Source organism: Homo sapiens, chromosome 4 (genome assembly GCF_000001405.40).
Source record: "Homo sapiens chromosome 4, GRCh38.p14 Primary Assembly".
Lineage (NCBI taxonomy): Eukaryota > Metazoa > Chordata > Mammalia > Primates > Hominidae > Homo > Homo sapiens.
This window is the reverse complement of record NC_000004.12, coordinates 168,148,460-168,174,725: the sequence shown is the minus strand read 5'-3', so window position 1 is coordinate 168,174,725 and position 26,266 is coordinate 168,148,460. Positions and strand designations below refer to the sequence as shown.

General features: G+C 35.1%; 1 protein-coding gene and 1 long non-coding RNA gene across 5 annotated transcripts in view; one reads left to right on the top strand and one right to left on the bottom strand.

Moving 5' to 3' along the window:
- Positions 1-4,716, top strand: part of LOC105377524 (uncharacterized) — a 29,038-nt gene extending 24,322 nt beyond the window's left edge. For 2 of the 3 annotated variants that reach the window (XR_939424.3, XR_001741917.2), the window contains one exon: positions 2,448-4,716. This is a non-coding gene — a long non-coding RNA (uncharacterized LOC105377524). The remainder of the gene's footprint in view (positions 1-2,447) is intronic. The other variant, XR_007058356.1, reaches the window with a different exon arrangement.
- ANXA10 (annexin A10) overlaps positions 1-26,266 on the bottom strand; it is a 95,200-nt gene that overhangs the window by 13,011 nt on the left and 55,923 nt on the right. The window contains exons 4-7 of one of the 2 annotated variants that reach the window (XM_011531571.3): positions 14,433-14,492; positions 12,085-12,198; positions 10,438-10,528; positions 9,400-9,479 (exon numbers count right to left, since the gene is read on the bottom strand). In XM_011531571.3, the coding sequence (XP_011529873.1) occupies positions 9,400-9,479; positions 10,438-10,528; positions 12,085-12,198; positions 14,433-14,492 (345 nt within the window). The remainder of the gene's footprint in view (positions 1-9,399; positions 9,480-10,437; positions 10,529-12,084; positions 12,199-14,432; positions 14,493-26,266) is intronic. The other variant, NM_007193.5, reaches the window with a different exon arrangement.

Genomic DNA, 26,266 nt, shown 5'->3' with positions numbered 1-26,266 from the left:
TTCGGCCTTTTCATAGCCCACATCCAGTTCCTCAGGAAATAATATAGACACTGCCTTCAAAATGACACAGGATTTTTTTTCTGTGCGTTTTGCCAGTTGGAGACCTCTGTGGCTGGCAATGCTCCTGCCTGGGCCTTGCTCGCCCTGGGCTTGTGGCAGGAGGTACCCTGCCCATTCAGCCTGTTGGGCTGCATTTGCCTTGCCACCTGGCCTGGATCCTGTGGCCACTGTGACTGCGCACTCAGCCCGCAGAGTGAGGGGATGTGTGAGCGAGTGAGCATGGGGTCCAGCTGGCTGTTCCAATTGCTGGCATAGGTGCGGGCTCCATGTGGGGCTTGTGGCTGGACCAGGCATGTCACAAGTGACTCCAATGTCCAGACAAAGGGGACATGGTGGTGCCTGAAAACTTGGAGACTCCAGGTGAATAGGGGTGTGTTAACAGCTCTTTTAGTTCCACCATCGACAGCCTGACTAAAGGGGGCATGTGGAGCCAAGCAGCTACTTTTCCTGTTGCTTGGTGAGTGGGAAGGGAGTGCTACAGGGCTACAGCTCTATTCACACTCACTGTTTGGCAGGTCCCAAGTTTTTGTCCCACATCCAAGGAGAATGAGGTTACACTGACAGTCAGTGGGTGAGCAAGGTGAAGGGTTTTAGTGAGTGAAGAAACAGCTCTCAGCAAAGAGGGAGACCCAAGTTGGGCAGCCCCCTTACCCAAAGTCAGGTAGTTCCTCCCCCACCACCCGAAGGTGGGCAATCCCCTGCTCTGACTGAGTCCAGCGTTTTTATGGGCTCAGAATGGGGGGGTATGTGCTGATTGGTTTGTTAGGACGCAAAAAGGCTAAAAAAAAGGCACCACTCAAAGATGGGCGCAACAGTGTAAAAAACCAATTAGGGAAGGGTAGGAATGTGTAAAATAGGTGAAGGCTGGGGATCAACCAGAGGAAAGCACCTCACATGGGAAGAGGGGTTCCCAATCCGGTCTGTGGATTTATCTGAGACTTGTAGATGGGTTTTCAGCTTTAAACTGTCTTTGGTGTGAAGGTTGGGTTTTACCATCCCTGTCTGCCTAAAGATTTGTCTGTCTCCTGCTGCTATCTAAAATACATCCAGAAACTGGGCACTTATCACCACTGCCAATGCTCTCCTATGGGTCCGAGGTAACATTACAGCTAGCTTTACTGCTGAAGCAGCCTCCTTACAGGCTTCTGTTTCTACCTTTGGCTCCCTGTAGTCTTTTCTCAATATAGCAGCTATTGTGAATATTTTAAAGCATAAAACCACGTTCCTTCACTAAAGACCCAGCAATGACTTACCTCTCATCCATTTCACTCAAAGGAAAAGCCAAAGTCCTTAAAATGGCTTCAGGATTTGACATAATCTTACCACGTGCTACTTCTCTGAATTCATTTACTATTATAGTACATTTCCTTTGCTTGCTCAGAGGCTACCAACTGGCCTTGTGTCTATCCCTCATACCCATTAGCTTTTCTTACCTTACATTTTTCTCTAGCTATACCCTTTACTTGGAACATCCTATCACATTGATTTATTTGTTAACTCATTCTTTTATCCATATTTTTGCTCAAATCTCATCTTCTCAATGAGGCCTACTCTGACCAATCTATATAATATGGCAGGAGGGGCACAGTGGCTCATGCCTGTAATCCCAACACTTTGGGAGGCTGAGGCAGGTGGACCTCCTCAGGTCAGGAGTTCAAGACAAGCCTGGCCAATATGGTGAAGCCCCGTCTCTACTAAAAATACAAAAATTAGCCAGGCGTGGTGACAGGCATCTGTAATCCTAGCTACTTGGGAGGCTGAGGCAGGAGAATCGCTTGAACCCAGGAGGTGGAGGTTGCAGTGAGCCGAGATTGTGCCATTGCACTCCAGCCTGGGTGACAAGAGCAAAACTCTGTCTCAAAAAAAAAAAAAAAAAAAATGGCAACATACCCATTATGCTCAGCCCTACAATGCTTCTCCCTGTTACTCTGTTCTGCCATATCTTTCATCAACCTTCTAATATTTTATATAATCCACCTATTTATTAAATTTATGTTTAATTGTCCATATTCTCTTGCTAGAATGTAAGCATCTTAAGGGCTGGCTGGGATCTTTATCTCTTCTGTACACCAATAATTCCCAATTATCTAAAATCATGCTTGGCACATGGTAGGCATTCAAGAAATGTTAATTGGAAAAGTAAAGAAATAACTTTAGATAGCAGACTTCAAAGATGCATCAGTGGATGTGGGAAGATTTTCTGGATTATTGATATTTTCTTAGTGATCTTCAGCTTCTATAGCTAAGTAAGCTCCTGCCTTTGCAAAGTTTGTGAGAGATATTTAAGAATTTTCTGCAACTTTACATATCTGAAATATTGTTTGGAAAGATAATTGTTTTGGACATTTAACCTGAAATGGTGCCTATCTGTTTATTTTCCTATGCAGCTAATTACCAAGAGCACTTTAAGCACACTGGTGGATTTAAACAATGTGAATAAGTAAGATTGTGATTTGGCTTTGACAAAGGCAGAGTCAAGCTGGCTTTGTCATGTAAAGGGCCTGAGACGGCCACATGGTATGTTTAATTGATGTAAGTACCAGAAAATGGCATAAATGAGTACAGAATTTAGTTTAAGGGCATGATAAACATGGGAAGGAAAGAAATGAAAAGAACTAAGATGTGGGTGAAAATATTTGGAGGCGATGAATTGATTACAGATGATTATTGAAAGCTGTTGGCCATAACACTCCCAGAGGCCTCATTGTACGGGTTCAAGAAACTGTCATAAGAGAATTCTGAAAGCCAAGGTAAGCAGTAAGTATCCATTAGGTAGTTTCCATTCTTTCTCTTCCTGAAAACGTTTATCATCTCCAGTGTGATTTGCACATATTGATTAATTAATCTCTAAGTGACTAATTTTTCATTATTTGACAGATAATTAGATCTTTCATAAATCTGTGTAATAAAAGCATGCAGGAAGCATTGTGAGCCAGTTTAATAATTGGCATTAGTTTTCAAGAAGAATGTGTTCCAGCTCAGTTGTTTCCTTATTAGAAATCATCCTGTCAGGAAACACTTTATAGATAAAGTAAATGATCTTGTCTTCTGGAAAATATGACAATGATTTTTAACACTTGCCATTTCACAAGAACCTAAGGCTCCTATGCTCCAATTACCCCAGTCTCTATTAATTCAAAAAAAATGGGTGTGTCTGAATTTTAGTGATGTTAAAAATATGAAAACCATGGGTCATCTTTCCTTTGATTCTAAAAGTGAAGATGCATAGGGAGGTAGAGGACCTGATTATAACAACCAAAGAATTGGAGAATATTTGTTTTGGAAAGGAATTGAAAGAAGGATGAGCTCATATCCTTTAATTTACAGAGTAAAAACCTGAATCTCATAAAGGTTAAATGATAAATCCAAAGATACAAAACTGATGGGAGAGATTTGATTACACTATGGTGCCCCACAGTTACCCACTAGGAACTCACCAGCTCCAAATTTCACCTCCCTTTAGAAGAAAACTCCATTTCTTTTTGTAAAATATCTTGACAGATTCTCTCTGAAATTGTGTACACCACAGACAATGATCAAGAGAAGTGATGGACTTTTACAATCCCATTATTCACTTTATATCTTTTCCAATTTTCTGAATTTACTGATCCAAATCCTAAGTCAGTGGTTCCAAACTGAGAAGCCATTAATGTAGAAGTGAGAAGCCAATAGAAAATCTTTGAACTATTTAACAATCTAAGAGAACTCATACATTTTACTAACAGTATAAATTATCACGGAACTTCTGATTTTCGAAGAGACTATTATTAAAGGAGATTATATTAAGTTTTTAATAGTTTGGTACCTCCATTTTCTATTATGAGTTAAATAATCTTTATGAAATATGTATTATTGTATTTTTGTGTATTTTATATTTTAAGGAAAATGTACTGTGAAACTTTGTAAGTATATAATGTTAAAGTAAACTTTATTAATTTTCCTTGGCTTCTTATAAAATGTAAGCCTTGATTCACCCACACTTTTTGGTATTCTATGTTGAAAGGAAAATTTTACTATACTTAAGTGCTGTTCCAAGGTTAAATACTCATACATATATTTAATGTTCCAATTCTAGAAATCAAACTTAAGAAGTAACACTTTTGGTGGAACCACAAACGGAAAAGAGTCTTGGGTCCTGAATCATGGTTTGGAGAAGACCTTTATGCCTATTAGGAGCCAAAAGCCTAAAACTCTAAACTTAAAACACAAGCAATAGAATGTTGATTCTGTCCTGTCTGCAGTATACAGGATTAGCTTTTTCTGTTAAGATAAAACTAGGAAATAAAGTTGTGTGTGGAAGCAATAAAAATCTGAACTATTCCTACATGTAATTCTAGAAATTTATAGGTGCTACATTTTTTGAAAATTTTAATGACATATATAAGAAGGAAAATCAAATTAAAAATTCAAGTTGATGTTATCTTTAAAAAAAAGTAATAGTTCATCCTGTTCATTCATAATCTAAATTAGGTAAAAACCAGTGATAAAATATTGTGTGTTATTTTAAAATATATGTATATCTACACAAACGATATTATATATACAAATACTCGTACTCATGTACACACCCTATCATTAATAAAGCATCATTGTTTAATTTTAGGAAAAAAATAACTACAATTGGGAATAAAATTGATTGCCCTATTACATCCAAAAGTCACCATTCATTGATTATTTTTTCACTTGTGATTTATTTTCCCTCATGTTTCATTTTCGGAACTTGTGTTTTCCCTTGAAATACAAGAATGCTTACTTTATAAAAATACACTGTGATCCTAATTCTTAGATGTCAGTTATTTTAGGTGGTTTATAGCTCAACCTTTAAAGAGGTGCAGAAATGCTAAGAGGATTTGAGTTTTGATCGTTGACATTTTACCAAATAGAAGTAGAATTGGAGTGGAACCAAATGGGGTTGGAGATAGGAGCAGTACAATTCAACAGCAGAGGTATAGTGCATCTAGGCCTGACTTCATGTCAGCCCTTTCATTAAGTAGACCTGTAATGTCAGGTACACCACTTAACCTCTCTAAGCTTAAGTCTCCTCATCTCTACACAGAGGGGATATTGCCAGTTGGGTTTCCTGGGAAGATGACTTTGAGACGGAGATCGGCATCCAGCCTGTTAATTATGGAATGTTCTTGGGATCAACACCTATGGGAGGGAGGGAACAGAAGCAGGATTTGGCTGTGATGCAGTCCTAATGGAATTAAATAAAGTCCTTAGGAAAATAATTTTCTTCCTACTAAAGCAATAAAAACTTGTTTGATATTAGGATTTATAATGGCTTATAATGGAACTGTTGGCTTCACTCTGTTAGGGGCAATACCTGTGCCAAGAAGAATCTCTGAGTGGAAACTGTTGCTTTAATTTATATTATTGTAGCAACATTATTGTAAAATTACCTTTTAAATTGAGAAAAAATTTTAATTAAAATTAATCTTATAAAATGTAAAAGAAAATATTCAATTGGCATCTTGTCAATCGAGATTATTTTAAAATAGTAATTATTATTGAAAATGTATTTTTCTGCAAATGACCTCAACTTCTGTTACAAATTAAAATGAGCTTATACCTACATTTTACCAGACGCTTCAGTTTGTACTATGAAAAACCAAATTATCTTTTCTCCACTGACATGGATAATCCTACAGATGAAAATCCTCAGAATAGGATGATTTACTGAGAGTGGTGACATGGGAGTTTTATGAACTATGTAGCCAAACCACAGATATCCAAATTAAACTAAACCAAACCAAAACCAAACACAACAAAGCAAATTCTTTGTTTATATATGCTTCCCTTTTAGAAATTCTATTTGGGCCTAATATAGTCATCATCATAAGTTTTCTATTTATTGACAAACATGTCTTTACCATCTTCTGTTACCCATTTGTATTTCTTGGTTGCAATGTTCAATTCTTTTTCACAGCTTTGAAATACACTGATTGGCCAGGCGCGGTGGCTCACGCCTGTAATCCCAGCACTTTGGGAGGCCGAGGCGGGCGGATCAAGAGGTCAAGAGATTGAGACCATCCTGGCCAACATGGTGAAACCGCGTCTCTACTAAAAATAAAAAATATTAGCTGGGCTTGGTGGCACGTGCCTGTAATCCCAGCTACTCGGGAGGCTGAGGTAGGAGAATCACTTGAACCAGGGAGGCAGAGGTTGCAGTGAGCCAAGATTGCACCATTGCACTCCAGCCTGGGTGACAAGAGTGAAACTCCGTTAAAAAAAAGAAGAAGAAGAAGAAGAAATACACTAAATACAGATTTAAAACTTGTTTCAACTTCCTTGAAGACAAATAACTTCACTACCTTTGATATTAAGTAGGCCTCCTTGAGTGAGGGTTTAGCCAGTGATATCTGAGCAGAAATGGATATGCATTGCAACAAGGCTCATGAACACTTCTGTGAAGAAACCTCTATTCTCTTTCTGCTTCCCTGGGTTGAAGACAGACATGATAAACTTAAAAGCCAGTTGTAACGGTGGAAGGAGACTAAGTCTCTGGATCACTTCTTGGAAGGGAAATGCACTCTGATCGGTAGCACCTGTTCAGGTCTTCCTGTGAGCTTGAGAAATGGCATTTACTTTATGCTTTTAGTCATCTATTACAAGAAAGAGATAAGCTCAGTAAATAACTTGCTAGTTTGCAAGCAGACATACAAGGGAGAAGAGAGAAAGTTTAGAAATTTGGTGCCTTGAAGAGTTACAAAGAGAAACCACTTACTGATTCCAAGCAATGTAAGCTGAGACTTGAAGAGGCTTTGAAAAGTAAGGGTTTGTTATGACTCAGCCCTCTAGTAATACCCGGCCAGTTTTACCTTCTAAGAGATCCTTCAAGGAAATGTTTTTGAGTCGTGAAAATAAAAAAGGCATAAATGAGGGAGCAAGGATGCAAAGAAAGTCATACCGGAGAAATATATCTAGGAAAGAACTTTGCATGCGGTTAAGTGGTAAATGGACCTAACCAAAAGCAAGTAGATCACAACTCTTCTAAGTTTTTAGAGATCCTCATTTTCAAAGACATTACAAACTAAGATTAAAGAAATATTGATAACGTGTGCTATAAACAAAATATGAGGACTCTAAATTTGCCAAAGTTGAGCTGCTATGAAAGTGGTACAAGGATATAGAGAGGCTTCTCAACTTATGATGGGGTTACGTCCTGATAAATCCATTGTAAATTAAAATATCCCAAGTCAAAAATGCATTTAATACACCTAACCTATTGAACACATACCTTAAATGTGCTCAGAACACTTGCAGTAGCCTACAGTTGGGCAAAATTATCTAACACAAAGCCTATTTTACAATAAAGTGTGTTACATATCTCACATAATTTATGGAATATCAACTATTATGTGAAAATTGCAGCAGTTTTGCACCATCATAAAGTAGAAAGGTACCATGAAGTAGATAAGTCAGACCATAAAAATTCAGGGACTGAGGACTGTCTGTTCTCCATAGCACCTCTTCAGATAAAGCCAAGCAGGATAAAGGACAGGGGAGGACTTCTCAGAGTTTATCCACAGTAGCCACAGAAACGTTTAGATTAAAAACAAATCCAATAACTCATGGAAGCAATTGGGACTGGAGGGGTTCAGAGAAAAGGATGAAAGAATAGACAATTATCTACCTTGCGTTTTTATCTGGTGATTCTAACTCCTCACCTAAGAGTGTGGGGCTCTGTGTTCCTGAGGGCCTTAGGCAGGATTCTCACTCTAGTCCCCTCCACCTGGACTATAGATCCTTCTCTCTCCTAGGTCCTACTCTTCCAGCTTTGTTCCCACTAAAAAGGCTTTCATGTATTCTTTTTTTAAAAGGCATTGAAATCTTTTCTAATGTCATGTTCCCATGTACAAAATTCTATCAACTTCTTGGTTTTAGTGAAATTCTTTGGTGACTACTAATTCTTTGCTAACTACTATGCCTTTGATGTGTAAAGGAAAGGTTTGGAGGTTTAGAAACTCTTGCTTCATTTCAAACACACACACACACACACACACACACACACACACACACACACACACACACGAAACACAAAACCAAACCAAACCAAAATTCTGGCTTTTAAGACATGTTTCTCAGCTGTGGCCTTTGAGATTCTCTTTTAGAAATTAAGAGCTGAACACTGACCCTCTTTCTCTTTGCATTCCTGAGTGCCTTTGTTAAATAGGATAACAGGCACATTGGAGAATATGTATAAAACAGGAGATAATTATATCTTTAAAAATATTATTTGTATTACAATGCTAATATGTGGAATATTTTCAAGAAATATTCATTAAATGGAAATACTTATATATCATTTAGCCAGTACAGAAACATAAATGATAAAATCTATTTTTAACTTGAAGTAGTGTTCCTTTTTGGTAATATATAACACCACAGAATTTTTATAGGCTGCATCAAAGATCATATGCTGGCATTTAGAGTCTCTAGCATTCAATCAAATTCTGGATTTCTACTTATTAGCTCTTCAGACAATCATAGAGCTAGAACTTTATACTTTGTGATTCTCTATTCTTTTCTGAAGTACTTATGAGAATATTTGTATTATAGTGTTTTGTTGTTATTAAATGAGAAAATTGTTTCTCTCCTCACACAGTACTAGGCACATTGTAGGAGCTCAGAAATGTTAGTGTGCGCTAAGCCCATGTAGCAGTTTTAAAAATGAAATTATTTCTAAGGCTGGGCATGGTGGCTCACGCCTGTAATTCTAGCACCTTGGGAGGCTGAGGCAGGCGGATCACCTGAAGTCAGGAGTTTGAGACCAGCCTTGCCAACATGGTGAAACCCCATCTCTACTAAAAATACAAAAATTAGCTGGATGTGGTGGCACGTGCCTTGAGTCCCAGCTACATGGGAGGCTGAGGCAGGAAAATCACTTGAACCCAGGAGGAGGAGGTTGCAGTGAGCTGAGATCATGCCACTGCACTCCAGCCTGGGTGATAGAGCGAGACTGTCTCAAAAAAGAAAGAAAGAAAGAAAGAAATTATTTCTAATTAGAATTATTAATTTTAACTGTAATATTTTTAATCTTTTAATTTTCTCAGAATATAAAATTAATTATACATACATGTATATTTATAATCTCTTTAGAATAGATTTTTAATTTTTTGAAAATAGAGTTGAGGCATTATCCATATTTGTCTTTAACAACTTAAATTTCTAGTTGAGTATTTTGAACATGGCTTCAGTAAATGTTACTACACAGAATTTACTATTGAACTGTAATATACTGGAGTTTTCTGTTCTATTTTTTTTTTTTTTTTTGGCAATGACATATACTTATTTGCTTAGATAGTGCAAAGTAATGTAAATTTTGGAATGCCATACCTGGACCAAGTTCATGAGAGTATCTCTGAAGTGTCCTGAGGTCTCTGAATAAATGTCCTCTTGGAGGTTATTGCTGTATTCTGTATAAGAAAACATGTTAAAGGTATGATTTATTATAGAACTATGTATCAGTGTGTTTTGAGTAAGTTAATGTTATTTCCCAGTTGTGAGTACAAAGTCCAGGAAATGTAGTCCACCTGTTGACATTTCTTTGTCAATAAACCGTCTGCCAAAGAATTCTGTCACCTAATGGTAACATAAGCACAGGACTATTTTTTAAAAATCTTTAGTCCAAAATTGAAAAACAGGATTGAGAGTCATTTCACATTCTCTGATTCTCAAAATTCAGAATTATGCATTCTATTTCCACAGAATGCTGCCCAGCCCAATACTTTTTCTAAGTGCTTCATCTCATTTTAACATTTTAGTGAAAGTTCTGACTTCATTCCCTTCAGAAAAGTCTTGTTTTTGTTTGAATGCAATAGAGATGACTGTCCGCAACATTTTCTTGACACACAATGTCATATACTACATAACGCAATAGAACTTAAGGCATTATACCTTTTTGAAAGTGAAAATAGTTACCCTTTCTACTTTTGAAATGTATAAAAATCTGATTTTGTAGTAGATTACGGGAATGTGAAATTTATGTAAAGCGAAGCAGATATATTTGTAGAATTCACTGAGCCATTATTGTACCTTATTTTTTCTATATGCTGGGTCTTTCCTGGGTAAGAGGTGAAATGCCCCCTGAATTAAAATGTGGGACACTTTCCTGTCTTAATGAAAACATTCACCTCATAGAGACTTGTAATTATTTTCCTGGAAAATTTGCTTAACTTGATTGTCTAGAGAATGGTTTCATTTTTAGTGCACTAATAATCGGTTTTACCTAATGAGTTAATTGGTCCTCAGTGAATCCTATGTTAAATGTAAGAATGTCTTAGATAATTCTTCAAAATACATAAACTGGAATATTTAATGTGTTATAAAGTTCTTATATGTGTAAAATATATTCACATATGTATATTTCCTTACGCAAGCAGTAGGCTTCTCGCATCTGGAAAATTTCTCCATTTGTTCTTGAAGCTAGTATTTCAATGAGGCAATTCTCATCAGTGCCTACTCCCTAGAGAAAGGAAAAAAGAGATAAATGTAAGGATATTTTTATTGGAAGTAATAGTGTACCTTTTGTACAAGAAAGGGATACAGCATTTCCAGTGTTTTGAGAGGTGGCAGGGAAAGGAAGTGGTTTAGGATGAAGGCAGGCACAATCTTAGTTTCAGCTTTGCCATTTACTACCTATTTGACCCTGAAGAATTAATATTATCTGAAGGAAACTGTTTCTTCATTTAGAATAAAACAGTATGAGCATTTCTAAACAATGTGGAGAAAGACATGTTCAAGCAATGCTCATGGCATTGAGCATTTCCATTTGCTGTTGGAATGATATTTGATATTCCATTTGCTGCTGGAATATTAATTCTTTAGCAAGCTGACATTAGAATACAGGTTTTCTAATTTGCCGAGAATATTTTAGGGACCTGTGCCTGCCTCTCTAGATGTGGAATTTTGTACAATTTGCATAAATATTTGGATGGATGCTTTCTGTGGTCTCTTGCAGACACATGGATATATTGGTCTGTGAAAGAGATCTTAAAGACAATACACCTTTTTTAGGAAAGCCTCAGAAATCCTTAGCATTCTATGAATTATTGATAAAACACACTTGTTTAATCAAAACAGCAACATATAAACATATAACTTTATTTTTTAAATAATTTTTAGACATAATTTTGCAAGAGGTAGGAATTGACATGTAACATGTGTTAAAAGCGATTAGTTAAAATTCATATAATTTTTGTACAATGCCTATTTGGATCAGTAAATGTGATGGCCAAAATCCATGTCCTTTAATTTTTTTCCTGTTGCCTCTTTTCTGTCACACATTGTTCACAGATTGTGGTAATCTGGTCATTGGCAAGCATCGTACTGGAATGATTTCAACAGTTCTGCAGGTGTTTAATATCTGCATTTGGAAAGAAGTAAAGCCAAGGCCCTCTTTGTTCCCTGTACCTAGCCAACAAAATCTGTAACAAATCCACAGTCAACTTATTTCATGGAAATGACTTTCCTGTAAGAAACACTGATTCTAATTCTTCCAAATTAAGATTTTTATACATTTGAGCAAAAAAAAAAATGTTTCTGTAAAGAATGAACTTCAGGTCATAAAAAGAAAATATAAAGACATCATCTATATATTGTCCCTGATTCAATATCTTCTTTTGACTTAATCAAATTTTTACAAATAATGTAACAAGATTCACATCATTTTTAATACATTATCCTCAATATAGGAATACATGCTCAGGGACAAATCTGAATAGCCCTGGAGGCTTGTTCACTTTTCCTTGTTGTAGGTCAGCACTGGGGCTGGCTCAGTAAGTTTGTGACTTTGTACAACAAAAGAACAGGCTGATCCCAGCCACTCAGCCCAGGAGGCTCCACCTTCCTAACAAGGCCACTGCCCTTGACCACAACATTTCCATTGTTACATCATTGTTTAGATATTCCCTCCCCTCTCCTTGATCATATAAGTATGTAGGAGCATCACAGGGCAGTTTCCCCTCTACTGAAATACTGGCCTGTACTTGTTACAGGCATATTTTTGGATCAGATCACTACCTTCATGGCATGCCAGAGCTCATGAGCATCATACAGTGGTGGTGGGTACATGAGGCCAGCCATCACATCTTTGAAGTGATCCGAAAGCTGCTCCCTCATATCCCCAATCAGGTCCTGTGGAGGAAAAAGTACATATATTTATTATATGTTACCAAATTTGCAAGAGAAATGAGATAATTGCAGAAAGTCTTTTAATATTTTCTTTTCCATGTCATTTAATAATAACAGCATAACAAGTCTGATTCACATGTATATGTATGCATTACATGAGATGATGAACTTGAAAATTGTTGATTTGATCTCACCCCTGCATGACATAGCATATGCACATTGTAGACATTTGAACATAGAATGATTTTCTTTTTCTGACCCTAAACTCCAACTCCTCTTTTGATCTCATTATGAAAATATGTAAAAGTTAAACTTAAAAACATTTAATTGGGGGTCTTTAGTTTTCTTGTGGAATTACTGAAACATTACTCCTTAAAGAAAATATGCACTTTATTTTATTTTATCATTGCAACAGTCTCTTTTAGCAGAAGTCCCTGGTTATACTATTGCCAAACAGCTTATGTAAATTAATTAAGTAGTCTTAGAACTTTCTTCAAATAACAAGCAATATTATTTTAAATATTGAAAGTCAAACACTTAAAGAGAAATACATGCATACTAAATGTGCTATGAAAACAGACATAAAAATATTTTGCATTTTATTTTACAAATGTAAAGTGGAATTAAAAATATATATATGCTCTTCCTATACAACAACAAACAGGCAAGCCAAGAGCCAAATCATGAATGACTTCCAATTCACAATTGCTACAAAAGGAATAAAATACCTAGGGATACAGCTAACAAGGGAATTGAAGGACCTCTTCAAGGAGAGCTACAAACCACTGCTCAAAGAAATCAGAGATGACACAAACACATGGAAGAACATTCCATGTTCATGGATAGGAAGAATCAATATCATGAAAATGGCCATATTGTTCAAAGTAATTTATAGATTCAATGCTATCCCCATTAAACTCCCATTAATGTTCTTCACAGAATTAGAAAAAAAACTATTTTAAAATTCATATGGAACCAAAAAAAGAGCCTGAATAGCCAAGTCAATCCTAAGCAAAAAGAACAAAGCTGGACGCATCACACTACCCAACTGCAAACTATAATACAAGGCTACAGTAATCAAAACAGCATGGTACTGGTACAAGAACAGACACACAGACCAATGGAACAGAATAGAAAACTCAGAAATAAGACCACATAGCTACAACCATCTGATCTTTGACAAACCTGACAAAAATAAGCAATGGGGAAAAGATTCTCTATTTAATAAATGGTGCTGGGAGAAGTGTCTAGTTATATGCAGAAAACTGAAACTGTATACCTTCCTTATGCCATATACAAAAATTAACTCAAGATGAATTAAAGACTTAAATGTAAAACCCAAAACTATAAAAAACCTAGAAGAAAATCTAGGCAATACCATTGAGGACATAGGCACAGGCAAATATTTCATGATGAAAACTCCAAAAGCAACTGCAACAAAAGCAAAAATTGACAAATGGAATCTAATTAAACTAAAGAGCCTCTGCACAGCAAAAGAAACTATCATCAGAGTGAACAGACAGCCTATAGAATGGGAGAAAGTTTTTGCAATCTATCCATGGGACAAAGGTCTAATAACCAGAGTGAGTCTAAGAAGAACTTAAGCAAATTTACAGGAAACAAACAACCCCATTAAAAAGTGGGAAAAATATGAACAGACACTTCTCAAAAGAAGACAGACGTGCAGCCAACAAACACATGGAAAGAAGCTTAACATCACTGATTATTAGAGAAATACAAATCAAAACCACAGTGAGATATTGTTTCACCCCAGTCAGAAGGGTGATTACTAAAAAGTCAAGAAACCACAGATGTTGGTGAGGTTGTGGACAAAAAGGAACATTTTTACACTCTGGGAGTGTAAATCAGTTCAACCGTTGTGGAAGACAGTGTGGTGATTCCTCAAAGACCTAGAGGCAGAAATACTATTTGACCCAGCAATCTCATTACTGGCTATATGCCCAAAGGAATAAAAACCATTATATTAATATTATAAAGATACATGCATGTGTATGTTCATCGCAGCACTATTCACAATAGCAAAGATACATAATCAGCCTAAATGCCCAATGATAGACTGGATAAAGAAAATGTGGTACATATATGCCATGGAATACTATGCAGCTATTAAAAAGGGATGAGATTATGTCCTTTTCAGGGACATGGATAGTTGGAAGCCATTATCCTCTGCAAAGTAACACAAGAACAGAAAATCAAACACTGTATGTTTCACTTACAAGTAGGAGCTGAATGATGAGAACACATGGACACATGGAGGAGAACAACACACACTGGGCCTGTTGGGGGCGGGGGCAAGCAGGGAGGGAGAACATCAGGAAGAATAGCTAATGGATAATGGGCTTAATATCTAGGTTATAGGTTGATAGGTGCAACAAACCACCATGGCACATGTTTACCTGTGAAATAAACCTGCATATTCTGCACACGTATCCCTGAACTTAAAATAACATTTGAGGGAAAAAATATATATATACTCAATTTATTTTCTGTAGGGTTACCAAGAAATCTGAACGGTGTTTAAAATGGTCTCTCACTAAACTGTGTAAAGCATATTCAGTTTTACTTAAAAACATGCAATACTTTGGTTCTGAGGTGGTTCAATACTGGAATTCAAGTAAAAGATTCCACATTGAAATAACTACAAAATAGTCCTAATTTTCATTTTATTATTTGGCATAATCCAACACCACCTTTCATACACTGTGGATTTTCTTTTTTAGTAGATAAAAGCATTATAACAAGAGAGAAAATACAAAATACCAATATTGGAAGTGTAAGAGTTATGTGTATGTATACTGTAGACACTAAGGGGTAAAAAGAGACTATTATAAACAAATTTCTGCCACTATATTTTAAAATTTAGTTGAAATGGACAAATTCCATGACAAATACAAATTACCAAAATAGGCTCAAGCATAAATAGAAAATTTAGATTTCCCAATGTTAATTAAAGAAATTGAATTTGTAGTTAATGCTCCCGCCTATCTCTAGACCCAGGTGGAATCACTAATGTAATCTATCAAGCCCTTATGGAAGGGGTAAAGTAAATCCTATACAAAATATTGAAGAAATTAGTGGATGATAGAAGATTTCTCAATTTACCTTATCTGGCCAGTATTGCTGTAATACAAAAATTAAAATAAAAACTTCATAAGAAAATTGCACACTGATATCCCTTATAAACCTAGACACAAACATGTGTATTCAAATATTTATAAAGCACATCTAGTAACACAGAAAAAGAATGACACCTAACGAGCAAGTAGGGTTTATCCCAGGAATGCAAGGTTGGTTTGCATTTGAAAATTAATCAATGTAAATTTCCATTTTAGCAGTATAAGGAGGAAAGCTATATGATGATATCAATAGAAGTAGCGTGTTAGTCCACTTTGTGTTGCCATAAAGAAAAACCTGTGGCTGGGTAATTTACAAAGAGGTTTAATTGTCTCATGGTTCTGCAAGCTGTACAAGAAGCATGGCACCAGTATCTGCTTCTCATGAGGCTTCAAGAAGCTTACAATCATGGCAGAAGGCAAAGGGGGAGCAAGAGCTGGAGGGAGGAGCTGCCAGGCTCTTTAAGGGGAACATATTACTCATGGAAAGAGCTCTTCATGAGGAATCCGCTCCCACGACCCAAACACCTATCTTCAGGCCCACCTCCAGCACTGGAGATCACATTTCAACATGACATTTGGAGAGGACACATATCTAAACCAACTAATGTAGCAAAAGCATTTGAGAATATTTAGCACATAATCATAATAAAAAAATTCTTAGCAAAGAAAGAAGGAATCTTTCTCAAACTGATAGAGGGCATTTACAAAATTTCTACAGGGAAGAGGATACCAGTGAAAAACTAAATGCTTATCCTCTAAGATTGAGAACAAGGCAAGGATGTCTGCTCTTACTGATATATTCTATTTCAATTTGTACTAGAGCTATATACTTAAAAAGAAAAGCCAAAACTAAATCTTCTAGAAGAAAGTACCAGAACAAATCTTTGCCACTTGGTGTAGACAAAAAATTCTTACATGATACATAAAAGAATAAACAATATATGAAAAAATGATGAATTTAACTTCTTTGAAATAAAAACCTTAAATTTTTGTAAGGAACTTTGAAGAAAGTAAAAGAGAACCACAGTTGTCACTTCACATATTTGACAAAAGATTTGTGCCCAGAAGATACAAGAATCTCTTAAAACCCAGTTAAGACATTCTGATGAAAACATGGACAAGACCTTTCAACTAGAACTTCACCAAATAAAACTTACAAACTGGGAATAAGCCTGTGGAATGTTTAAATGTTTTCATGCTTAAAACATTGGTCATGACACTAATGGAAATTAGAACCATCATGAGATACCACCACATATTCTCTAGAGCAGCTAAAATTAAAAGACTGATAATACCAGGTGTTGGTGAGGATGTGGATCATTTGGAACTGTCATCACTGATCAGAATGTAATATATTGCAACCACGTTAGCAAACTCTTTTGTAGTTTCTCATGAGTTTAAACATATATTTAAAAACAATCCATCAAATGCATTCCTATTAACCAACAAAAATGAACATTTATAAACCCAAAGAACAGGAATATTTATAGCACATTTATTCATAATAATCCCAAATTGAAAATGAATGTCCATCAACAGGTGAATGAATAAACAAATATTGGTATATATATGCACTAGAAAAATAGCAATAAAAGAATACACATAGCTTCACAAGTGAACCTTAAAAACATTATTCTGAGAAAATGAATCTAGACATAAAAGAGCACATATGACATGATTACATTTATATTAAATTCTAGAAATAGCAAAAATTCATCTATAAGGACAAGTAGAAAGCAGATCAGTGGTTTCTTTCAGCAGGAGGATGTCAGGAGATGGGCTGCAAAGGAGCAGACACAAAGTCTGGAGGTATTAGAAATGCTCTATACTGGCCGGGCGTGGTGGCTTACGCCTGTAATCCCAAGACTTTGGGAGGCTGAGACAGGTAGAGTCAGGTCAGGAGTTCAACACCAGCCTGGCCAAGATGCTGAAACCCTGTCTCTACTAAAAATATAACAATTAGCCAGGGGTGGTGGCAGGCGCCTGTAATCCCAGCTACTCGGGAGGCTGAGTCAGGAGGATCACTGGAACCTGGGTGGCGGAGGTTGCAGTGAGCCGAGATCATGCCACTGCACTCCAGCCTGGGAGACAGAGCAAGACTCTGTATCAAAAAAGAAAAAAAAATATAAAGAAATGATCTATACCTTGATTGTGTTGTGTTCAAACTGTATTAACATAAATAAAGTTTATTTTATAGAAATTGTACTCAATATTGTGAATTTTTAATTTTAAAATGTTATTTTGGCATCTATAATGTATTTTCAAAGTCTTCAATTTATTCACTACTTTCAAATTTATATGCCATACCACTAGATCACTGGTTTCAAGTTATTTATCAGGTAATTTAGTAGTTTTAGCATTTTTTCCACGCTAGTGTACCTTAGAAAAAATATGAACTTCATCATTAATATTGGTGCCCTAGAGGAATGATTTTTTAATAAGCCTGAGGATAGAGGTGACATGAGAATCCTAGGTAAGAGGAAGAGTTTGTAAAATTATTCAAAATTAATAGAGTCTCCTGTTTGGAGGCCAGGTGTTTGTCCCTTTACTCCAGCCAAACATCACCAAGATGGATAAAAACAAGAAATAGGGGCCGGGCATGGTTGCTCATGCCTGTAACCCCAGCACTTTGGGAGGCCGAGGCAGGAGGATCAGGAGGTCAGGAGATCGAGACCATACTGGCTAACACAATGAAACCCCGTCTCTACTAAAAATACAAAAAATTAGCTGGGCATGGTGGCGGGTGCCTGTAGTTCCAGCTACTTGGGAGGCTGAGGCAGGAGAATGGCGTGAACCTGGGAGGCAGAGCTTGCAGTGAGCTGAGATCCCGCCATTGCATTCCAGCCTGGGTGACAGAGTGGAGACTCCGTCTCAAAAAAACAAAACAAAACAAAACAAAAAACAAGAAATATGCACTTAAAAAGCAATGTGGTCACCTACTATATATATAAAATTATATATTATATAGTATATATAATATATACTATATAATATATAATATAATATATATTAATTATATTATATATACTATATAATATATTATATAACATATATACTATATAATATATTATATATTATATATACTATTATATATAATATAATATAATATATACTATTATATATAATATATACATTATATATAATATATACTATTATATATAATATAATACATATTACATATAATATAATATATATTATATATAATATATAATATATAATATAATATATATAATATATAATATATATTATTTTTATATATAATATATATAAATATAAATAAATATAATATTTATATATAATAAATATTATATATAATATATATAATATATGATATATAATATATAATATATAATATAATACTATATATAATATATTATATATAACATATAATATAAATTATGTATAATATATGATATATCATATAATATAATATATGATATATCATATATTATATATAACATATAATATATGATATATAATATAATATATGATATATCATATATTATATATAACATATAATATATGATATATCATATATGATATATTATATTATATATGATATATCATATATCATATATAATATATCATATATTATATATTATATATAATATATAATATATGATATATCATATATTATATAATATATAATATATGATATATCATATATTATATTATATAATATTATATATTTATAATATATTATATATTTTATAATATATAATTATATATAATATACTATATAATGTATAATTATATATAATTATATATATTTATAATATATAATTATATATTATATAATTATATATATTTATAATATATAATTATATATTATATAATTATATATTTTATAATATATAATTATATATTATATAATTATATATTTTATAATATATAATTATATATTATATAATATATAATTTATAATTATATATTATAAAATATATAATTCATAATTATATATAATTATATATAATATAATGTATAATATAATATATAATATATAATACATTCAATATAATATATAATACATTATATAATATATAATATATTATATATAATGTAATACATATAATATAATATATATATTACTAAGGGCCAACAAGAGAGGCAATATAAGGGCAAGGCTTTGAAACTTACAGAATTGTACGAATGTATAAATTAGAGATATTATTCATAAAATGAAGGTTCGTGGAAAGCGTAGTTGTGAGGTGAGCTTTGAAAGATAAAGTGGGATTTGATCAGGCAAAGGCTTAGGAGATACCAACAATAAATAATGTTTCAGGACAGAGAAGGTACTGTTCTGGGTAGAGTGAAACGTGCCTGTGAAGTATACAGCTAGCCTTCAGTAAATGTTGGGTTGATTTGAAATCTGAATATTTCAAAAGAGACTTTGGATGTCCTTGTAGTGCAAAGGGTATACCATGAGGCCCTAATAATGGAAAGTTGAGTAGGCCAGGCAGAAGAATGTGATGATTATCATAACAACTAGCATTTACTGAATACTTAATATTTGTCAGATGGTATTCTGAATATTAGAATAACTGTAATAATTTATTACAACAACCCTGTGAGTTAGGAACTGTATTCATTCCACTATGTAGATAAGAAAATCAGGCACACAAAGGTGACATAGCTAGCACCATAGGAAGCCACTAATTATATGCGACCAAAGTGATGAACATAGCAAATAGGTGGTACCTGTGGCACATTTTAGGCATTTTAAAATAAATCTTGTGGCAATGCGTTGAAGGTTTGAATGCAAATGGATCAATTCAATATACTTTTATCTCTACAGGATAGTGGCACTTGACAGTTGATAGAAAGGTAGAAAAATTAAAATGATCATCTCTTCCATGGGCCTTCTTCTATCCCTAAGTGAAATTGATTACTTCCTGGCCACCACTGCTTTATCTTTGCGTTTATTATATTTCAGTGACCACATTATATGATAAATATATGTGCATATTTCCCCCAAAAGTCTATCAGGACATGGACTTTCTCACAAATTCTTCAAAATTCAGCATCTAGCTCTAGCAAAGTACTGAGTGCACAAAATATGTGGAGTACAGCTTATAAATAATACATACATGAATGTATAAGCAAATGAAAGAATAATGGATGAATGTGGATAAAGAAAAACTTGGTAAAGGATAAAAAAGGCAATGTTCAAGCTGAAGACTATGCAAGCATTGCAAAAGTTTGTTATTTAACCTTTAGTCACATTTATTTGATCACTACTCCCACCCTACACATGTATCACAACATATTTCTTCCCTTTACATATGATATTTTTGTACTAATGCTGAATTGTAGACTGAGATTAGTAGTGCCAGTAGATGGCGCTTGTATCTTTGTTTTCAACTCAGAGGCACGCGCGCGCGCGTGTGTGCGTGTGTGTGTGTGTGTGTGTGTATACATAGCTATAGTTACAGTGAACTAATTTTGTAAAAAAAAAAGAAATAATATAATTTCAGGAAAATAAACAATATCAGATATCATCTAATGTTCGAATGTACAGGTTCTGGAGGTAGGGTTTTTAGGCTTGAATCCTCACAGTGCAAAATACCAGCTAAGAGATTCTAAATATGTTCCTTAACTTCTTTGTGTCTGTTTCACAATCTGCAAAGTGAAAATAATCACAGCATCTGCCTCGCAGAGTTGATATAAATGTTAAAAGATTTAACTCAGGTAAAATTCTGAAAATATTTTATGGCATATTATAGGCATTCAATATATGTCTTTCCAACCCCACAAAACCTTAAGTAACTTGTTGCAAATAAAACATGATTAGTTAGGTTGTTTCCTTCTCTACCGTCCCCCATCTTTGTCTGTCTCTCTTCACCTCACAGTTTTCCCGTATTTTTTGCAACCTTTACTATATCCCAAGCTTGTCCAACCTGTCTTATTTTGTTGTTGTTATTGGTTTTTTTTTTTGTTTTGTTTTTGTTTTTGTTTTTTTTTTTTTTTTTTTGCTTTAGGCTTTTAGCAGCTTGAAGCCATGGTTTTTAGTTTCTCTCTCTAGTGATAAGCAGAAAAGAGGGATGGGGAAGGCCCTTTCTTGGCCCAACCAGAAACAGAAACTAAGAACCCATGACTGTATTTTCTCCTTGGTTACCCCTGCTATATCCGATTGTCAATGGATTCTATTGTCTGCAACTTACAAATCTATCTAGAAACTGATGAACTGTTACTACTTTTACTGCTACGATCTTTACCCAGGCCACCATCATCACTCTCCTTTGTTAATATAATAGCCTCTGGCTGGGCACAGTGGTGCATGCCTGTGTTTTGGGAGGCTGAGGCCGCCAGATTGCTTGAGTCCAGGAGTTCAAGACTAGACTGGGCAGGATGGCGAAGCCCCGTCTCCACAAAAAATGCCAAAAACTCGCTGAGTGTGGTGGCATGCACCTGTAGTCCTAGCTACTTGGAGGCTGAGGTGGGAGGATTACCTGAGCCCGTGAGGGTGAGGCTGCAGTGAGCTGTGATTGTCCCGTGGCACTCTAGCCTAGTGACTAACTGTGAGACCTTGTCTCAAAAACAATAGATATATTGTTTATATATATAATATAGATATTATTTATATATTAAATATTAAATAAGCCCTATGAGTTATATTTTATTTACATAAAATATATTTTATATAAATAGAATTGCTGGGAGGCGATACATATATATATATGTAATTTACTTATTTATTATGTATATATAATAGCCTCCAAGCGAGTTTCCCTTCTGTCCTTGTACCTTGCAATCTCCTTCAACAACCTTGAGAGTGTGATCCTGGGAAAATAAAAATCAAATTAGTTACTCCTCTGCTCAAAATGTTTTCTCTCAAGCCACACTCCAAAATAAACTATACCATTATTTTATACACTTGATCTTAGAAGAAAATGAACACTCAGTGTTTTATTCCCATGTAAATGACAAAGTCCTTACATGGTCAACAAGATACATAATATCTTCTTGGTAACTTTGACTTCATCACCTACAATTCTCCTTGCTCCTGATTTCTCTTGCTCTGGCTACAGCGGGCTTCTTTCTGAACCTGGAATAGCAGATCTGTGGGAGTCAGGGCCTTTACTTTTGCCCTTCACTGTGCCCTTAATGTTCTTCCCCTAGGTATTCACAGGGTCCACCCCCTCTGCCTTCTTAGTGAAGCCTGCCCTGTTTATCCTGTTTAAAATTACACCCCATCTCCCCACACTTCCTGTATTTCTTACCTGGCTTCTGCTTTTTTTCCAAAGCATTTATTGCCTTCTATGCATGATCTCTCCCACCCAGGTGGAATAGGTAGAATGTAAGCTCCATCATGCAGAGCTGTTGGTCTGTTTTCTTCACGGCTATTTCACCAGCCCATAGAACTGTGCCTGTTACATAGTCGTCACTTACAATATAGGTACAAAATGAATGAGTGAATGAAAGAGTGAATGAGGACTACTTGTAGTTCAACAATTATTTGTTTGGAGTCATTCTTGGCAATTTGAACATAAATAAGTGAAGGTCCTTATCATCAAGCAGTTTTCTTCAGTGGAGAGAAATACAGGAATTACAATTAAATTACAATACAAAATTTGGTAAGTGCTATAGTAATGGGAATAGCATGCTATTATCAGGACACTGGAAGGAGGTGTTACTTTCAGTTGGGAAGATAAATATCGAATAACATGTTTAAATAACTGAACATTACAAGTTCAAAGTGGAGCCTTCAAATAGGTTCTCTAATTAGAGTATTAAATTCTCACTAGGATTTATATATATATACACCACTTTTCAAATGCAACCTTTGCAGCGTGACTTTCCCCAGCTGGACTGCCTCTGCTTTCCTGTATTCCGAAGACTTGCCCTAAAGCAGACTCTGCTGGAATCACAGCTTGGCCTTACATTAAGCTAATGAGTACTTGCTTTGCAAATTGAGCTGTTCTGTGTTGCCAATGAAACTGCAGACTACCCTTGCTGCAGCTATTCTAACCACTCCATTTAAATTAAAAATAAAATGGCATTTTCTTATTTCTTATTCGTCTTACCTTTATCTTATTATGGATAAACAGGGGCAAGAAATAGAAGTAAGACTAACATCTTTCTTGTCTGAATATGCTCAGGGGAATAGTTTCATATGCTTTTCACTTATATGGCTTTTTCTATTATTATTTAAAATGTTCTTTGCTGTTTAAATATCAATGATGCATGCTGTATAAAGTGAAATTTAGAATTTATCTTAATTCTATCTCCCTCCCCCAGTGGTCACTATGTAAATACTTGCATCATTTTATATTATATTGAAAAATTAAAATGAAATCCTAAGTCCCTCAACTGACTGGATGAACCCCTTCCTGGCCAAGGGGGCCCCAGAGCAATCTTGAAAACTGAGTTCCTAGCAATGATGGGATGGAATTTAGAATACACCTTATGGTACCCCCTCCCTAGCTCACTGCCTTTCTTTCCTAAGAGTTAACCAGAAACCAGCCCTTTGGAAAGACTTACTCCACCCCTGATATCAACCAACCCTCTTACACTGCCTCTCCTTTTTGTGGTTTAGACAAAACAACCAGCCAGCATTCTTTCCTGGCTAGAGACCACTGACCGCTTAGTGGTTCTGGCCAGTCTATGGAGGATGTGCAGTGAGGGTTTTCTGTCACCTTTCAGTGTCAGAGGGCTGAAAATTCCACCCTCGCAACATGCTAACACCACCATGTTTTGAACGTGGGTCCTGTGGAGAGGTATGAAGCTTAACTGCGCATGTGCGTGTTTCTCCTTTCATAAATATTCATGACTCCTATAGCTTATTGAATATGTATATTCAGCCACCCTGTTCTGCATAAATTTCTGTCTTATTCTTCTGGCTATCAAAGTGTCTGTTTCCAGTTTTCGGCAGGAGACCATGCTTCCCAGCCTGTCAGAATGGCCACCCTGCAGGCTGCAACCTTTTATAAAACATAAAGCTTTCTTTTCCAAATTTATGAACCTTGTTATTCTTCAGCTGACAGTATTATAAAAATGTTTGTGCAAGTTGCTTCGTCACTTTGCAGTGGTAAGAGAATATTCTTTCGAATAGCTTCATTTTACAGATATTTTCGCAGTTTACATAATTATTTAATTTTCAATGAAATTTGGGGTTTTTTGTTTGATAATAATGATAATACTTTGGTCTTCTAGACACACATGGTATATTAAATCTAAACTCTCCCCTTTCAAATACCTGATAAAAAGTAACAGAAATACTTTTAACAGTATACATGATTTCAGAAGAAAGAGAAACCGCTTGATGTAAAAATCAGGAAAAAATGAAAACCAGAAGATAAGCAAGTGAGCTGACCTTGGAGACGATCCTGCAGGTGACTGGGGAAAGTAGAGGCTGGTTTTGAGAGCTATTTGGTTTAGGCTTTAGTGCCTAATTTCGGGCACTGTATGAGGAGAAGAGAACATTTACTGGGCAATGTAACACAGGGAATCAAGTCTGAAATCTCACATATGAGGTTGCTATCCTCAAAGGGTTGTATCCTCAGTAGCAGCGTGAACTAGAAGAAAAATATTATTCAGCATTGAAAGATTGGCAGAAAGCTCACGCTCACCACTCATTGCCTAGGCTTTGAGTAGGAGAACATTTTCCCTGATAATCTGAAACAATAGACCTGTGCTTTCCTGAGGCTTGAAGTTCAAATTTATTTAACTCATATGAACTGAGACCTCCATGAAGAGAAATCATCATGAAAGCTGATCTCAAACTAGTGATTCTCATGGAACAGAAGAAGCAAATGCAAAACCAATCTTCAGAAATTCTCTGACACTCCAGAACAGAAAAAGATTCTCCCTAAAGAAACAAAAAACAAGACCCATCTCCTAGGTGATATAGTGGACTCTGCAACAATCAGAATTGAAACCCCATGAATTTGAGATCATTAATAACAATCTGAGGGAATACTATGAAAAAAAGTTAACAGACTTTTTAAAGAAAGCAAATAAAATTCTAGAAATTAAAAACTAAAAAGAGTAGCTAGTAAAAAACTGAAAATGAAATCAGCACATTGGGAAAATACATTTTAAAGTGACAAAAATATTCTACATATGTGGACAAGAAATATATGGTATTTATATGGTAACATAAAGTTAACAGACTTGAAAGGGTGAATGAGACGGACAGACTTTGGTCTAAAAGGATTTACAGTAGGAGAGAATGTGGACAATGCTGGAGAGACACTATTTCCAGTCTTCCAGAATACGTGAATCCTCAGCTATTTAGACAAAAATGTACAAGCCTGTTGACTACCACAGTGAAACTATAGAATACCAAAAATAAAGAAAACTATCTTAAAAGCATCCAGAGAATAACAGAGAATCTATAGAAAAAAGGATCAAAACAAACAAAATAATACCTCTTGATGTCAGAAGAGTTTTCTCAGAAGTGTCGATAAGGGCCAGAAAAAACAAAAAACAAAACTGAAGTTATATTTGCAAAGATGTAGGGGAAAATAACTAGAGTTCCACCCAGAATTCTATAGCTATCTAAACTAATATCTAACAATGAGGAAATAATAAAAATATTCTCAGGGAAAGATTGAAATAATTTAACATTTATTTGTTATTTCCAGAAAAAAAGGAACTGCTAATGAATGTCCTTTTGAAAAAAAATCACATCGAAATCAGAAACATAGAATTGGGTATTAGAAGAAAAATGTACAAATAAATTAAGAATCACAAATAAAACTAAAGAAACACTAACTTATACAATGGCATAATAATGACTAATTTGAGGGAGTATAAAACAAGGTGGAATAAAAATATTGATCAATAATAATATGTGCCTAGAAAATTTCCCCAGCTCCTATGTCAATTACAGGAAAAAACTTGAGGTAAGAGATGTTATTGTGAACATAGGTTAGCAAGTAAGATAGAGTCCATTTCAAAGACTGACTCATTTTAAAAAATTGTCATGGCCA